Raw genomic sequence first — 17437 nt, forward strand, 5'->3', positions numbered from 1 at the left:
GAGTTCTTCTGGAAAGCCAGAGCTGCTAAAAGGAACTTAGGGGATCTGTTCCTAAGTTCCTCTAAGATCCCAATAGAGGACTAGAGGCTTCTTTCCCTCTTGGGGGATGCCATGTTGATTAATGAAATTTTTGCTACTTAGCTTTAGGAAAAAGGCATTTATTTATTTTCTTTTCTTTCCTTTTTTTTTTTTTGAGACGGAGTTTTGCTCTTGTTGCCCAGGCTGGAGTGCAATGGTGCGATGTCGGCTCACCACAACCTCCACCTCCCAGGTTCAAGCGATTCTCCTGCCTCAGCCTCCCAAGTAGCTGGGATTACAGGCATGCCTCACCATGCCCAGCTAATTTTGTATTTTTAGTAGAGATGGGGTTTCTCTATGTTGGTCAGGCTGGTCTGGAACTCCTGACCTCAGGTGATCCGCCTCCCAAAGTGCTGGGATTACAGGCATGAGCCACCACACCCAACCAGAAAGGTCTATTTTCTTTGATCTTATTAAAGGCTGCCATATACAAAGGTTTTCTTTTAATGTTGATCTGTTTTTAAAATATGGAAGAAAGCCTTGAAAGGCATCATCATAAGCTCTACGTCAATATCCAGAAAATATCGTCTTGTTTTAGAATTCTAGCCTGTTTTGTTTGGTAGATGAGTCAGTCTACTGTAAATAAATATTTATTGAGCACTTGTTTTGTGCCAAGCACAGTGCCCTAGGGATTGTAGTGTTTTTCAAATTGTGGGTCACAGCTCCCTAATGTCATAAAATCAATTTAGTGAGCTATAACCGGCATATTCAATCAAATGGAATGAAAAATAGAATATCAGATTGCATCATGGATAGTATTGTATTATTTTATCAAACTTGAGTTTCAATTGTGTATGTATGTGTGCAAGGTTGCAATATAAAGTGTCTTTTTTACTTGTGTCATGGTTAGAAAAGCTTGAAAAGCACTATTATAGAGCATACCCAAAAGTATATATTCCTTGCTTTTGAATAAGTTAAACTCTTGTTGGAGCAAGAAACACAAAAGAATAAATACTCAAGTAGTGAATTACAATAAGTGCTATGTGTTCGGAAAAGTAAGATGATAATACAAGTTGAAAGTGGCATGGATGGATATGGTGGAACTTGAACCAAATCTGGAAAGATGGATAGGGCTTGGAAGGGGTGAAGACTAGAGAATGGCTTAAAGGTGAGACGTGGCATATGGATAATAGGGATGGCAAGACTGGAACAGAGGTTTCAGTTTACATTAGAGAACTGTAGGATATAGTTTGGAGATAGAAAATGAAGCACAATTGTCCAGACTTATGGATGCCTTGTGATAACATGCCTGAGGAGTGTGTATTAGATCAGGTAAGCTGCACAGATTCTTAAGCTGGGGAGTGATAATGATATAGGGTGGGTTTATAGAATACTTTCCATCTTCTTCCTAACTCCTCTTTAGTCATGGGGAGCTCCTAAGGGAATTTCTTCTAGGTAGGTGTTGGATACCAAGTCTCTGGCATCAGATCAAAGAGAGCCAGAAAGGACTTTGGCTGTTCTCCAGAATGTAAATAGAAAGGTAGAACAAGTCCCATTGTGGGTGCATGTGAAATACTCCCATGGAGGAGAACTGCAGTGCTGTCTGTTTGAAATACGGCAAAGAATGGATTGAAGAACATTTCTTCTGATATCACTGTTTAATGTTTGCTCTCAATGTAAAGGGAAAAGCAGATTAAAGGGCCCATGTTTTTGAAGTACTGGGAACCTGACTGACCTACCTGAAATATGCTATGTAAATAATTTGTCATGTGATCTCCTTACCCTCAAGACACCTTCACTGAATATGCTATATACATAATTTATAAAACAGTTTCAAGCGTGATTGCAAAAAGTTTCTCCTCATTGGAAAGGGACATTTGATATTTATCTGCCAAACTCTTTACTACTTTCCAATTAAAGATAAATTTAAAGAAGTTTCTGAAATGATAATGTGCTTTACGGGGAAGGTGATTTAACTAGAAAGAAGCTTTTAAAAAAATGACTATTTAATCTATAACACTAAATACACCAATAATTTAGATCGACTTCTGATTGAAAGTTATGATTCTTTGTCGTGGCAGATTATCAAATGTTCTAAATTGAGGCTGTTCTAGGACATAGTTTTTAATCTAAGTCATATTAAATAAAGTTTATGGGGGCCCATTGTTTTAGACTAGCCTCTTGGACTAGGCCCCAGCAGACCAGACTAAACTAGAATGGAGTTGCTCATGCTAGGTACCACATAATTAAACTGAATTCTGAAACAGGCCTGGTTTGTTTAAGTAACAAACCAGAAGATTCACAACAACCAGTCAAAAGGGGCCCAGTTTACCTGGGCATGATAAGAAGTCTCCTCTGTTTTAACCCTAAAAGGAAAGTAACTTTTGAAACAGTCAATCTGCTTTTTGTTCTGTTTCTGCTTTTCTCAGAACTTTTTTGTCTATAAAACCAATTCCTCTGCTCAGCTCATTGGAACACTTATTCTATTTTATAGAGTAAGATGTTGCTCAATTCTGGAATCACAAATAAAAGCCAATTAAGACCTTTAAATTTGTTGTAATTTTATTTCTTAACAGTCATTAGAAAAAAAAAAGCAGATGCATCTAGGATTGCAAGATTATTTACATGTAGTCCAGGGGGATTACATACATTTTAGCTATTTTGTAGAAGGTATAATTTAATCAGGAACACAAGTTCAAGCACAGCCCATGAGAGATGAAGGGATATGAAGAACACTAACTTTGGTTTCTAAAGGAAAGTGTGTAGAGTGTACATTCTTACTCGTCTGCAAAGAGGGTGGATGAATGAAAAATGAAGAAGGGGGTGTATTCGTTTATACTTATGAAGGCATCTGCTCACAATCAGTCACTTGTAGAGAGAGTGCCAGCTGGCAGGGTACTTGCGTGATGTAAATTGTCCATCCGCTCAGAAGAGCAGAAGTACAAGGAGGCCTTGTGCAAAGGACTGAATTCCTACCCAGAGGACAAGGGAGGGAGGTTCTTGTAGATATCTAAATGAGATCTACTTCCATTTTCCACTTTATTTGCAGTTTTCAACATGTCATTTTTCCTGCTGTCCCAGCTACGATTACTGTTTGACTTGAGTAATCAGTTTCCCCCCTTCACTGCAACTGCTGCTTATTAAGCCTCTGCCTGGTGGGGGGAGGGTGGGTATAGGAGGGGACACTGCTGGAAAAATGGTGTCACTTTTTCCAAGAGTGTTGTTTTCCTTGTCTTTCTGCTTCACTGGTTCATTTTTGTGAGCTGTATAAGAGCTAAAGGTTATTATTACAGATTTCATTTTTTGAAATGCATCAAAATCTCCATCCCCTCCCCTACCTGCTAATCTTTTTGCTTGTTAAGAAAGAAAGTGCTTCTTTCTGTGAAATCATAGATAATTCTAGGGGTATCAAATGTAATGGAATTAAATCTTATAAAATTTCTGAATGGACTTCCTTCTGCTTTTTTTTCACGATAGTAGAGAAAAAATTCAAACTTCCTTGGACAAAATTTTAAAACAGTATGCCCTGCAGAAGAAGAGGTTTTAGTAGAAATCTTTGTTTTTGTATTCTTTGATTTCTTAGATCTGGATTGGAGTGGGTCACCAAACTTTTTCTGTGAGAGGCCACTAAGTTAATATTTTAGGCTTTGCTGGCCATGCAGGGTCTCCACAATTGCCCAACCCTGCCCTTGTAGCCAGAAAAGCAGCGATAAACAGTGTAAAGCATTGTTTACAAAAATAGGTGGTGGGCTAGATTTGATCTTCCAGCTGTGGTTTGCCAGTCTCTGTCTTGGATTCTAAGCTACTTAAAGTGTGTCCTACCTCCCTCCCTCTGCCCTTCCTCTTCCTCCTTCCCCTCCCTCTCTAATTACTATATGAACATCTGGCACTTCGTACTTAAGCCCCCCTTTTAATGTATATTTTTTAAATACCTAAAATTTCTTCTCTGAAAAATAAATATTTCTATGCTAGTCTGTAGCCAACAGAATGTAACACCCTCCCTGAAAATGCCAACATTACCCGACACAGACTGGGATTAAACAAGTCTAGGCTTCTAGACAAAGAAGAAACAGTGTTTTCTTATCTTTTTGAGTGTACTGAAGCAGAAGTTAACTCTTTGCTTTCAGATGTGTCCCTTATCATCGAGAATTGCTGGTGGTCCTGTATCATTTTATTATAGGAAGGAAGGATGGACACCAGAGAGGGTGGGGAATTTGGTTTACAGGGAATCTTGACCAGTGCCTGCCTATAAAGGGTACCACTGTGAAATCCCCAGCAGTAAGTAGGTTTTCTAAAAATCAAGTGTGTATTTCTACTTGCCTAGGTTTTAGGGCCTTGTGAATGCAAGTCGAATGATAGAGGAAATTGGCTTGGAGGAAAATGTTGGGGAGTTTGGGTTTAGCTGGGTGCAGTCACCCCTAGACTTGGATGTGGAGTGAGTACCCCTGTTGACTTTAACATCTGTGTGTGTCTTAAAGAAGACTGCTACTTTTCTGGTTTATTGTCTATGCCTACAGATGACACGTGGAATAAATTGCACATTAAAATGTCTGACATGAAAATCAGAAGAGCTTAAGTTCATTCCACAGAAGCCTTTTGTTAGAATCTTCAAAGGATGAGAACCAGGATGAAGAAGAGTTTACAGTAGGGAAGTATTTCTCAACTGTAATTGTACATAAAAATTGCCTATGGTGCTTTAAAAAAATACAGAGTCTGGGGACACATGTTCTCGGGATCTCCTAAGGGCTGTCACAGACCATAAAGTTTAAGAAGAAAAAAAAAAAATACAGAGTTTGGGACCTCACCCAAAACCTACCAAAATGAAACTTGTGGAGATGAGGCTCAACAATTTGCATTTTCAAAAGCTCTGTGGGTGATTCTAATAGCCAGTCTGGGACCTTATTGTGGGCCAGATTATGAGAACTACTATAACAGGAAGACATAGACCTGGGCTGGCTCTAATGGAAAGGGGCCTTCTAGAGCGCCTGGGGGTTTTGAACTGTTTGGGTACAGATAACTCTTTTTAGTCTGGATACTTACAGTGATCCTGAAAATGTATATTATGCCTTTTCTCTTTAGGAAATCTTTGGGAAGGCTTTTTTAGAGAACGTCTTTGTGGATGAAAGGGGCTCTCTTTCTCCACATCTCTTAGACCCACTCCAATCCACTCCAAACCACCAGAGAAAGTCCTCATTGTTCAGTAGAAATCCAGCTGCCACACTGGATCATTCCCATCAGCACAACACATGATGTCTTCCCATCTTAAAAAGCAATTTGTTCTTGAACACCCCTTTCCCCCTTCAGCTACCACCTCATTTCTTTATAGAAAAATTACTTAGTGGGCTGGGTGCAGTGGTTCACGCCTATAATCCTAGCACCTTGGGAGGCCCAGGTGGGAGGATTGCTTGAGGCCAGGAGTTCAGTGTTGCAGTGAGCTATGATAGTACCATTGCACTCCATCCTGGGCGATTTAGGGCTCTCCCCTGTCTCTAACAGAAAATAAGAAAAATTACTTGGAAAATTGTTTTTATTACCTGTCTCCAATGCCCCCTTCCCTTGTGCCCAGCATTCTCTATGGCTTTCATTCCTGTCAGTTCTAACAAAGCACTTCAAGGTCACACCTCCAGGTTGCCAAATCCAGTAGCCAATGCTCAGTCTTTATCTTTCTTAGCATTTCAGGAGTATATGACAAAGTTCAGTTGGTCACTCTCTTCTTTTTAAAAGAAGCTTTTTAAAATTTGGCTTCTGGAATTCTACTCTTTTGGTATTCTTTCTACTTCAGTGGCTTTTCTCTCCAGTCTCCTTTTCTGGGTCCTCCCCATTTCCCCCATTGCTAAAAGTTGGTATGTCCCGAGACCCAGTCTGTGTACCTCTTATCTATCTATGTCCATTCCCTAGTTGTTTTCCTCTAATCCCATGGCTTTGAATACTAACTGTATGCTGACGACTTCCAGATTTCTCTCTCTTGCTGCAGCCTTTTCCTGAACTCCAGACTTTTATATCCTACCTGCTGAATTGATATTTTCACTTAGAGGTTTCGTGGGTATCTTCAACTTAGTATATCTGAAACTGAACTCCCAGTTTCTTACTCTCCATCCCCCCATGGCTGCTTCATCATTCCAGTTGTATAAGCCAAAGCTTGCATCCCACATCCAGTTCATCAGTAAAAGTGGTTTGTTCCACCCTCAAAATATGTCCAAAATACCATTATCTGTTAGCTGGATTGTTGCAAAACTCATCTAACTCATCTTCTTGTTTCTCTGTCATCCCTTCTGTAGTCTTTGGTCAGTACAGCAACCAGTCATCCTTTTGAAATGCTAGTTAGAGCCTGTTACTCCTTTGTATAAAACTCTCCAGTGGGTTCTCATCTTATTCAGAGTACAAACCAAGTCTTACAGTGATCTACAGAGCCCTCCATGTTGGCATTCCCTCCTCCTCTCAGCTTCTCTCACCTCATCTCCTAATACCTTTCCACCTTACTCACTGCTGCTTCAGCCGCACTGGCCTCCTCACCACTCCCTGGAACTTGCCAGCATGTGCCTGCCTCAGGGTATTGCACTTGCCATTCCTGGAATGCTCTTCCCATTCCTGGAATGCTCTTCCCCCAGATGTTGCACTGTTTTACTTCTTCAGGACTCTGCTCAGATTTCACCTTATCCATGTCATGAGACCATCTCTGATAATGCTGAATTAAATAGGCTCCCCACAAACTTTCTATTCCCACTTCGTTTTTCACCGTCATCTGACACACAGAATTTTCATTTTTATTTTAAAATCTGTTCCTTACCCAAGCATGCTCCCTACTTTTACTGTAAGTTCTACAAGGTTGAGACCTTGTCTTATTCTCTGCTGATCCCCAGTGCCTAGAACAGGGACTGACACATAGTAGGTTTTCAGTAAATGTTTGTTGAATGAATGGAAGAATTTGGACTTGAGCAATTATCAAGGCCAGTCATAGCTGTTAACCTTGACCTAATGGGTGGCTGTGGTAAGAAATTAATAAGCAATTGTGAAAACTGAGAAAGCCATTTTAGTATGTAAGATATCTTATGGTATTTGTAATTTGTAATTATTTCCTCTTTTAAGGACAGATGTAAACAGTACATGATCAGGGGAATTAGGGACCAAGTTTATTAGGAATGAAACTAAAGAATAAAAGGCACTGTAGCAAAATGAAGGATTGGAGGGGTTTTTTTGTTTTTCGTTTTTGAGATGGAGCCTTGCTCTGTCACCCAAGCTGGAGTACAGTAACACGATCTCAGCTCACTGCAACCTCTGCCTCCCGATTCAAGTGATTCTCCTGCCTCAGCCTCCTGAGAAGCTAGGATTACAGGCACCTGCCACCACACCCAGCTAATTTTTATATTTTTACTAGAGACGGGGTTTCACCATGTTGATCAGGCTGGTCTCCAACTCCCAAACTAAGGTGATCTCCCGCCTTGGCCTCCCAAAGTGCTGGGACTACAGGTGTGAGCCACCGCGCCCGGTGGATTAGAGTATTTTAAATAGCACATCACAGTGGACTTTTAAGTTCACTTAGCAAATAGTTGTTGAATAGAAAAAGTAAACTATTGGTCAACTTTTTGTGACTTTGTGGGATTATTGGAGTTGACCTTAGTCTATTACTATACCACCGTGACTAGGTATTAGAATCTTGTTTTTCTAATTAGATTTTCTCTTTTTAAAAAAACTATTTTTCACTCTTCTGTTATAGATAAAAGCCAAACTATAGCCAGCTTTCAATAGTATATGAATATCACAGAACAAGAAATAGCTTCCCACACAATTATGGTGTCTTTTTCATATCTTAACAATTACACATTTCTGAAATATGGGCTTATGTAGCTTATATTTAATTGCCTTTTTATTTCTTTAGTGTTATAATTAACTTAGTTGCCTTCTTTGTGACTCCGTTAAATCTCATGTCAGTCAAATCCCTGTAGTGGGATCTTTGTTCAGCAGAGCGAGTGGATTTTTTGCCTCAGCTTACACGAGTGGGGGTGAATATTGGCCTTGTTCCTTTAGCCCAGCTCAAGGACTTATTCATGCCTGTAGTCTACCACCATGAATTAGGTCTGGTATTGAGTCTTGGAAGCATGGGGTTTGGGTTAATAAGGCATATTCCCCAGTTCTTGGCTTAAAATTTCACTTGGGAATCTTTTTTGGTGAGTATATCAAATAAAATGGCAAAGATGTGCAGATTAGGATGAATTTATCGTATGTTTTGATAATGGAAATTGTTTGTACCCTCTAACAGTGATTTGCACTTATTTGAAATTACTCTCCAAGGGTGTTTGACATTCTAGTGTTCAGTTAAGAATTCTCTCTGTATGCATATAATGGCTGTTTTATGATCACATTTTAATTCCTATGATAAGTCAATTTTGGCCCTCCAGTTTACTGAAGTGTATATGGCATTTTGGGGCATTGCAATTAGGCAATGCAAGCAGAAAGCTTTTATTTTTTAGAACTTCTGCATTAGGTTAGTGCTGTGATCTTATTTAACCATAGCACCAAGTAGTATTTTGAGGGTGATAGGGAAAGAGAATTGTCTTTTTGGCTTAAACTTTATTTTGATACTTCATCGAAAAATCTAATTTCCATAGAGATTACGGATTTATCTTCTCCAAAATCATACTGTCTATTTCAGAACTTTTGTTTTCCTCTTAGCTCCATAGTGATAATCATACCATTATTTTTATAATAGCTTTTGATACAGAATTCTGTTAGCTTTAAAAAATTCTAAAATGATATCTTCTATTTTACCTACCTGCTTTGTTATATTTCACTGTGGCAACATAGAATTGAGACTTTCCATATTCCATCTCTGTTCATCTTAGTTAGCGTGTCTTTCCGTTATTAACAATGGCCCAAGTGTGATAGGAAGTGCTTATTGCCTGTACTCAGAAAACATGACTGTTGAAGCCCTTTGTTCATTCATTTGAAAGGGATACTTTCTCAAATTGTAAGTTCCATTGCATTTGTTGTCATAAATTTAGTTAGGAATTACTATTTTATACAAAACTGTAAAGGTTATTTGTCTGCATTTTTAAGTTGTGCTGATCTAAATATACTTTCTAAGGGATTGTCCTCTTGCACTGTTGGCATTTGACCGATTGACAAGGGGGAGGCCATGAAAAGGGAGTACAGAAATTTAGGGGAAAGGAACAGGATAATAAGTTTTTAAAAACAAACAATTTTGAAGATAAGTTTTAGCCAATAGAAACTAGCCCTTCAACAGGCAATAATGAGGACTGAGTTTTTCAGCATCTGGAGTGACTGCACTGTACCAGACCATCTTGGTATATTCCTTATGTGCTTAGTTGTTCTGTAGTGCTTCCGATCATCTGCCTGTGTCTGCTTGAGGATCCCACAGTCAGTATTAAGTTGGCCTTGGGTCGTCTTAATCAGTGAGGCTCTATTTGTGCAATCCATCCGCTGAGGTGGAACAATAACAGCTGGTTTGCAGCTGGATATGTTGTCCTGGGAACTCTTGTTTCAGCCAGCAGTTATGCTAACAAAATTGAAAACATTTTCAAATAGTTGCTTTCTGTGACTACTGTTTGTGTTAACTGTTTGGAGATCCCATTTAGTAGCCTAAACACACCCCATCTCTAATTGACTTTGTGCTACAACTTTATTAAAGTTTTATATGCCTAAAATCAAGTCTGGCTTCAAGGAGAGCATTCCTTTTCTGACTTCCAAAGAGTTAACACATAAGAGCCAGTAGTGAACCAGTGACTCCTAATTTGATACTTTAGAATGAACTAGTTTTCTTTTTCTAATTCAAGCTGTGGAAGGGCATTTTGCAATTTTGTAAAATTCTATATGGCTATTGTCATTCATTACTAAACTCTAAAGGAGGTTGTTTCACAAGATCCTTATGGAATTTTTCTGAGTAGCACATAACAGAGGAGCATTTATGTTCCCCAGCAGTCAGTGCTTGAATCCAATTCTAAGACAAGAAGAGTTTCTCCCTTATTCAGAGAGATGAGAAATACTTTACCATGTAGGAGGCTTAAGCAGAATTCCTTGGCTTGGTCCCACATGAACAAAGGCTGGATTCTCATTGTCGATGCGGCCTGTTCCCCTCCTCTCATTCCCTCAACCAGCATGAACTGTAGGATCTAGAGCAGGAAGTATTGGTTAATTTTGTGTGCTTCATTCTAAACATCTGCCCTTGAGTTTTTTGTTTATGGAAGGGATATGGCAGGGGGAGGAAGAGGGGCAGTAGAACACTCAGAAGCTAAACATTTTTTTGGTGGTGTGTATATCCATGGTTAGTCTTCGTGTGTGTGAACATGGGGTGAGGAGTGGAAGATGTTCTGGTTGAATAGTTGCTGGAATACATCCAGAAATGCACTTACTGTTTTCCTTAATCATTTGGCTTGGCTACTTTACCTTAAAGCCATACTGTCTACTTTCACTTGCTCCCGCAGCATGTTGATAATCTAGTAGTGTCATCAGACTGGAAATTAGAAGACCTGGTCCAGTTTTCTATTCATCTACCTGTTAACTGGATCTTCTTACTTTGTCAATTGTGAAATGAGTAGGATGGACAGAGTAGGGAAGTATAGTGAGAGAGAGGACATGGTAACCCTCAGGTAGAGCTATTTAACAGAATAAAAAGCTCCTTAGTGTTCCAGTTCTGGTTGTAGTTAATTCCAGATAACACACATACCTCGCACTTTGACCCCTCTATTCCATTTTCTGTATTTGCCTTCTTATTTATCCAGACTGGATTCCAAATTCCTTGAAGCAACTTTATTCCCCTTGTCTTGTTGTCTTTCTTTTACATTGGCAGAGGGGATGCTGAATGCTGCAGCAGAAATCACACCTCCACAGAGATGTTTGTACAAAGGCATGGCCTCCTGCTCTCCTCTCAGCCACCTGGTCTTTGCCCAGTAAGCCTTCTTTTTTCTAGTCAGCTACCTTTGCTGGACTTTACATTGGCTATTATAAAGTTTCTACACTCTGTTCAAATATTCCCCACCCAACATTACTCCCTGTCTTTGCCGCCAGTCTTGAGCAGGTATCCTTGATTTTCACTACACAGAAAAAAAGTCATCAGTAGAACTCGAATTTTAACTTCTGCCCCTTAAAACCTACAATGTCACTTTGCATATGCACCCAGACAGAGAGCAAAGAGGCAGGTTTCCTTCTGTAGAGAACCAGTCTCCCAACAAACATGGAATCCCATTCTTGTTTTCCAGCTTCTATTTTTCACCTTTCCCTCTCTGCTGACTCAAATACAACAGCATTTAATACACGTTCATCTCTATCAGAAAACAAAAAAGAAAAGAAAAGTCTTTCCTTGGCCCTGTAACCCTTCCAAATATCATCTTCCCCTCCTTCTCCTCTTCTTTAGGCAGACTACATGGTAGATTAACTACACTCACTGTGTCTGCCTGCTGTCTATTCTCAATTCCTTTGTTTTTGTTGTTTTTTTTTGAAAGGGAGTCTCGCTGTGTTGCCTAGGCTGGAGTGCAATGTCGCGATCTCGGCTCACTGCAACCTCCGCCTCCTGAGTTCCAGCAATTCTCCCACCTCATCCTCCTGAGTAGCTGGGATTACAGGCGCGTACCACCACGCCTGGCTAATTTTTTGAATTTTTAGGAGAGACAGGGTTTCACCATGTTGGCCAGGCTAGTCTCGAACTCCTGACCTCAAGTGATCTGCCTGCCTCGGCCTCCCAAAGTACTGGGATTACAGGCCTTAGCTACTGAGCCCGGCCCATTCTCAATTCCAACCACTGCCATCTTGTCCCTGGCACTGCTTTTGGTGCAGCTGTGACCTCTGTGGCTTGAAGCTGATGGATACTTCTTAGTCATTATCTTACTTGACTCTCCTAGCAGATTTGAACCCCATTGATTCCTCCCTCCTCAAAACCATCTTTCCTTGGCTTCTGTGGCATTTTTATTCTTTTACTTGCCTTCCTCCCTCTGGCTGCCCCCTCATAGCCTCCTCTGTCATCTTCCTCTGTGTGTGCTGTGAATGTTTGTGCACCTCAGGGTGGTCTCAGAAGTCAGCTGTCACGGAACACACTTGCTCCATATGCTTCAACTGTACTCAAGTCTCCAGTGTCCATCTGCATACTAGTGAGTCCCAAGTCTCTGTCTCTAACTCAGACATCTCTCTTGGCCCGTCAAACTGCTCACATCCAGCTCCCTACAGACATTTCCTCATCTACTGACCTGCAGGCATCCCAGAACTAGTGTATCGGAAACTGAATTCATCTTCCCATCCTGCCCCTGCGCCTGCCTCCAGTCCTGCCCACGCTTCTCTGTTCTCTATTTCAGTGAGTAGTACTACCCTCCACTTGGTTCATTTGAAACTAGAAAACTGAATGTTATTCTTAATCCTTCCACCTCATGGAATGGGAAAAAGCAGCTTTGACAATGAAACAGGGTACTAACAGCGACAAGTTGAGGAGCCTTTCAAAAGCAGCTCCCTATCGCCTTTGTAGTACATCAGTTACTAAGTTACTATTGAAAACGGCTTCCTACACCTCACTGAGGTCCATTCATTTCTCTCCATTCCTCTGTTCCCATTCTTAGTTCAACCTCTGTCATCTCTCCTGGATTACTGCCACATCTTGACCTCCCCATCTTCGTTCCTGTCCCTTCCAACCTAATCTCCACACTGATCTTTCTAAAAAATCAAACCTGATCATGTATTTTCTGGTTTAATGCCTTCAGTGGCTGGCCATTGCCTTTAAGCTGAAGTTGCTCCTTAAACATGACCGTAGCCTGGTGTGCTCTGCTTCTTGTTTGCCTCATCTCCAGCCACTTCTGTAGTTCTAGCTACCCTAGACAACTCTAATTCCTATGGTGATCACTCCTCTGTGTTCTCTGGGCTTTCATACATGCCATTTCATGTGCCTGGATGATGGGTCCCTGTTTGCTTAGCTCATTCTAAGCATTCCTCATGTCTTGGATTTAGATGCCACTTCCTCTAGGAAGCATTTCTTGAACTCATAAATCTGGGTTAGATGATCTTCTCCATGCTTTCCAAACATGATGTACTTCCCCTGTCATGGAGTCATCTCATGATGAGTTGTAAATTGCAGTTGTCTGTATGCGCCGTTGGGTTGACTGCAACTCTGAGGGTGGTGCACGTGACTCTCTTGTCATGGAGGTGTGTGAGCCTCCATACAGACTGCCACAGAGCTCCCTCATTTCCAGCTGTGGCTGTAGATTGGCATAAGAAAGGTAGCCCTGCAAATGAAGCTCAGTGCCAGCAAGGCCAGGCCAGCACCTGCAAGTAGACTGCATCAGAGTTTAATGCTAGCATAATTGCTTTCTGGACATTTTGCTACTTGTGGCTCTGTGTCTGTGGCTGCAGCAAGAGACATATGCCTGGTTCTTTCAGAGGGTGGCTTTGTAGTACAGATGTTGATTGGAACACAGGATGCCTTGATTGATTTTACCTTCTCTCCTTTGGCCCAGTCTGCTGCCGTTGGGTTGCTAAAGAACAATGAGATATCAGAAGGATAGAGAGAAAATAGAGAAAGAAGGATAATCTATAATCTACAGACTAGTGAGCAAGCCTTTGAACAGTCGAGGCCACCTACTCATGAGTAAAATTACATTGTTTAACCATTCTGTAATGTCTTAGATAGTGAGTCTCTGGAATGCCACAGATACTGTACTATAACCTCGCCCTCATTCAAAGGTGATGTCTTGACATTTTTGACGCAACAAAGAGATACAGGTAAAACTTGCATTCTTTTAACAGAAAGTGTGTAAACTGTATTTGTGTGACTTGTGTCTAGGCAAAATGCACTGCATCCTAGATAGAATATTCATGTTTGTATAGTATCCTTTAGTAACTGTACCAGGAACAGTCAGGTCCTTTTATGTGAACGTATTCAGAATCCCAGTTCAGGGATTTTCTTTATAAACCCTATTGTGGTAATGCCTTATATTTGTATAGAATTTTACAATTAGTCAAGTATGTGTAGATCTTAGTTTGACCTTCCAACAACTCTTGAAGTCGGTGGGGCAGGGATTGTCTTCATTTTTACAAAGAGAAAATGGCAGAGCAGAAATCATATGGTTAGTAAAGGAGGGAGTCAGGACCTGAACTCAGGTCTCAAAATGCCCCATCCTGTGTTCTTTCTGTTATGCCACATGGCTTTATGTTGAAGCTAATGTGTGTGCAAGTATGTTTCATGTATGTGGGGGACAGTTAATCCAACCTCCTCTAAGATCTGGGCCAGTTGAGAAATAGTCGGATATTGCTCATCCTGTCAGTTTTATTATAGAGAACGCTCAGTTGAAGAATGTGGCCTGGACACATAGCTCGCATGGGCTTTCTGCTCTTTTCCTCCCTGAATTGACCTCACCCACTTACTCCCAGATCCAGCAGCAGGACAGCGGCAGGCCCCACCCCACACAGAGGCAGAGCCCCACTGTGTTGCACTGAGTGCAGGAGAGGAGAGAGGGGGACTCCAGCCGGCAGCCAGAGAGAGACAAAGCGGGGTCCAGGCCACACATGAGGAATCGCTCCTTGTCTCTCAGGGACTAGTGGGTACGAGGAAGTGAAAGTGGCAGAAGTCTCTCCTCAACACTTCTGAGAGCACAGAAGTTGCTGTTCTGTGGGTTTTGTAGGAGAGGGTTGGGATGGTTCTTGAATTAATTGGCTTAGGGAGAAAAAACTGTAAGCTCCTTGAATACAGGGATCTCTGTGTCTTCACACATTCTGTCCCCTGATGTATATAGCATAGAGCTGAGCATAGATTTGTGCCCAACAAATTCTTGTTGACCAAACTGGGATCTTCACTATAACATAGAAGTAGCAAAGTATAGATATTGTTAGAGTTAGCAAGACCCAATGTGTGAATGAATGGTGATTTTATATTTTACCCATGTGAAGACACACTGGCTGGCAACCAAGCCATCCTGACCATAAGACCACACTCTGGCTTTTGCAGGGAACTGTCTGCCCCAGTGACTGCTGTCTTTTCCTCTCTGCTCAGAGCTCATTTCTCATATATTCTCTTTTGAACATATTGAAACAACCTTTTTAAACCTCCTTTCTCCCTTTGTCTTTTTTCCCCCATTTCATTGTTCATCCACTGAAGGAATTTTTTTTCCTCTTTCTTATTCTACTCCCTGCTACATCTCTCAAACACTGTCCTCCCTTCTTCAAATGTCTGTATCTTAACTTGGTAGATAAGTAGAAGAATAGAGCTGATGATATTCTTTCTGCGTCAAGAGTAACGTTACAGTTAATAGAGAATGAGGTTTTTTTAAAGTCTTAAAGGGCCTGGAGACCCATTTAGAAAGTTAGCATATATTTGCTTTTGTATCTTTTAATTAAGCTTTTGCTGAAGTACCAGCATTAAGAATAAACGTACTTTTTATTCAACTTTAGTTTTAATTAATAGTATAAGTACAGTACTAACATACGCCGCCAGTTTTCATTGCACACAACATTTCCACAATGCACATCACGACAGGCCTTTATGAGCCAACTTATGGACCCAACTGCAGTTTGTCATTTTGGGGGAAAATACGTAGTTTTCTGTTTTAGAATAGCCTGTCTTCTTGGTTTGATGTGTACAAGGAGATTTATATCCTTTGTCAAGTTCCAAACTAAGCTGGGAATAGAGGGCATTTGTTTGCTTCATACGTATGATTTATGACCTTTGATGTGTTTGTCCCACAGGAAAAGCTTTTGACATCACCTATGTGCGTCTCAAGTTCCACACCAGCCGCCCGGAGAGCTTTGCCATTTACAAGCGCACACGGGAAGACGGGCCCTGGATTCCTTACCAGTACTACAGTGGTTCCTGTGAGAACACCTACTCCAAGGCAAACCGCGGCTTCATCAGGACAGGAGGGGACGAGCAGCAGGCCTTGTGTACTGATGAATTCAGTGACATTTCTCCCCTCACTGGGGGCAACGTGGCCTTTTCTACCCTGGAAGGAAGGCCCAGCGCCTATAACTTTGACAATAGCCCTGTGCTGCAGGTAAATTCTCACAGGTTGGCCTGAAGCCAGCTAGTTCTACAACATGCGAGGTGTGGGAAGATTATTGTAGTGGGGCTTGTGGTCCCACTTCTGAGGTACGGGGTCAGAGTAGAATACTTGAGCAACACAGACAGAGAGCTTGATTCTGCTCTCTGTGTACTATTAATAAGTGAAGGAAAGTAGTTTTGTTCCTGCTGCCTGGTTGATGTTTGTTCTTATGCACTTGCAGATCTATTCTGGGATGTAAACTTTACACATTTTTTAAAAAGTCAAACAATTTTAACGTTAGTCTCTGTACCTGAGGTGGAAACATTTTCCTTCTGACCTTTTGAAGAGAACATTTGACCTAATTACCCAGATTTCTTGGATCTTTTCTTGCCTATTTTTTGATTTGACAAAATAAAATGTATTTTTTAAAATTAGCAAAGGGGAACCGTTGAAGCAAGATATTTAAGAATGCCATCTTCTTTCATTTTTACACAAGAAAATTTTGATTAGATTTGTCTGGCACGATTGCTGATCATTAAAGAAACTCCTCATCACCTAAAATGGATGATGTTAGTAACAGGATATGGATGTTAGTAACAGGATATTAATTTAGGTACCCATAGCACTGTACTTAAACATTGTGATAGAAACCTTTCCCTGTTTGAGAAGGATTTCTTTTTTCTCCTGAATTCTACATGCATATTCCTTATACACCATAATACGGAATTCTTCTATGTTGCTCATATTTCTGTGAACTTTTCATATGTCCTGGCTATTTGATTATGGAAAAGCTGGTGAGCCTCATGCTGTACTCAGCACTTTAACACAGAATTGGAGATGCTGCTGCATGTGGCTGAAGTCAACAACCACATGGGGATAGCCTTTGTCAGTTGACTGAAACAAGAAAGTCTGATAATGGGTTTTCAAATGCTGTGTACATTATATGAAAAGCTATTGTGATTTCTAAATAGGAAATACCCCATTTTTCTAGGGTTTCTAATTTGGATCTTCTTATTCTTTCTCACCGTTATTATGTTCAGGGACTCTCTTTCTAATTGTATGGTTTTGGACAGTGACAAAAGATAAGAATATATTTTTCTGTGGGTTCAGTTGCCCCCCTTCCATTGTATTTCTGTAAGTTGCTGGGAAAGCATGAATGTGAAAGCTGTTGGTAAACTCTGAGGTTATGGTGAGCAATGAGTGTGCTTGCCAACACCTTGCAAAAAAGTGTTTCTTGCAATGGAGATAAGTTGTGTTCAAAATAAATGGCCGAGAGAATAGCTGATTTTGATAGATGAAAAAGCAGGGCCAGGCGCAGTGGCTCATGGCTGTAATACCAGCACTTTGGGAGGCGGAGGCAGGTGGATCACTTGAGGTCAGGCATTCAAAACCCACCTGGCCAACATGGTGAAACCCTGTCTCTACTAAAAATACAAAAAAAAAAAAAAAGTTAG

The 17437-nt window shown here is 40.8% G+C and overlaps 1 protein-coding gene across 1 annotated transcript in view; it reads left to right on the top strand.

The window, feature by feature from the left end:
* LAMC1 (laminin subunit gamma 1) overlaps nt 1-17437 on the top strand; it is a 122173-nt gene that overhangs the window by 64218 nt on the left and 40518 nt on the right. Inside the window, exon 2 of the mRNA NM_002293.4 lies at nt 15691-15995. Coding sequence (NP_002284.3) covers nt 15691-15995 — 305 coding nt within the window. The remainder of the gene's footprint in view (nt 1-15690; nt 15996-17437) is intronic.

Source organism: Homo sapiens, chromosome 1 (assembly GCF_000001405.40).
Source record: "Homo sapiens chromosome 1, GRCh38.p14 Primary Assembly".
Classification (NCBI taxonomy): Eukaryota; Metazoa; Chordata; class Mammalia; order Primates; family Hominidae; genus Homo; species Homo sapiens.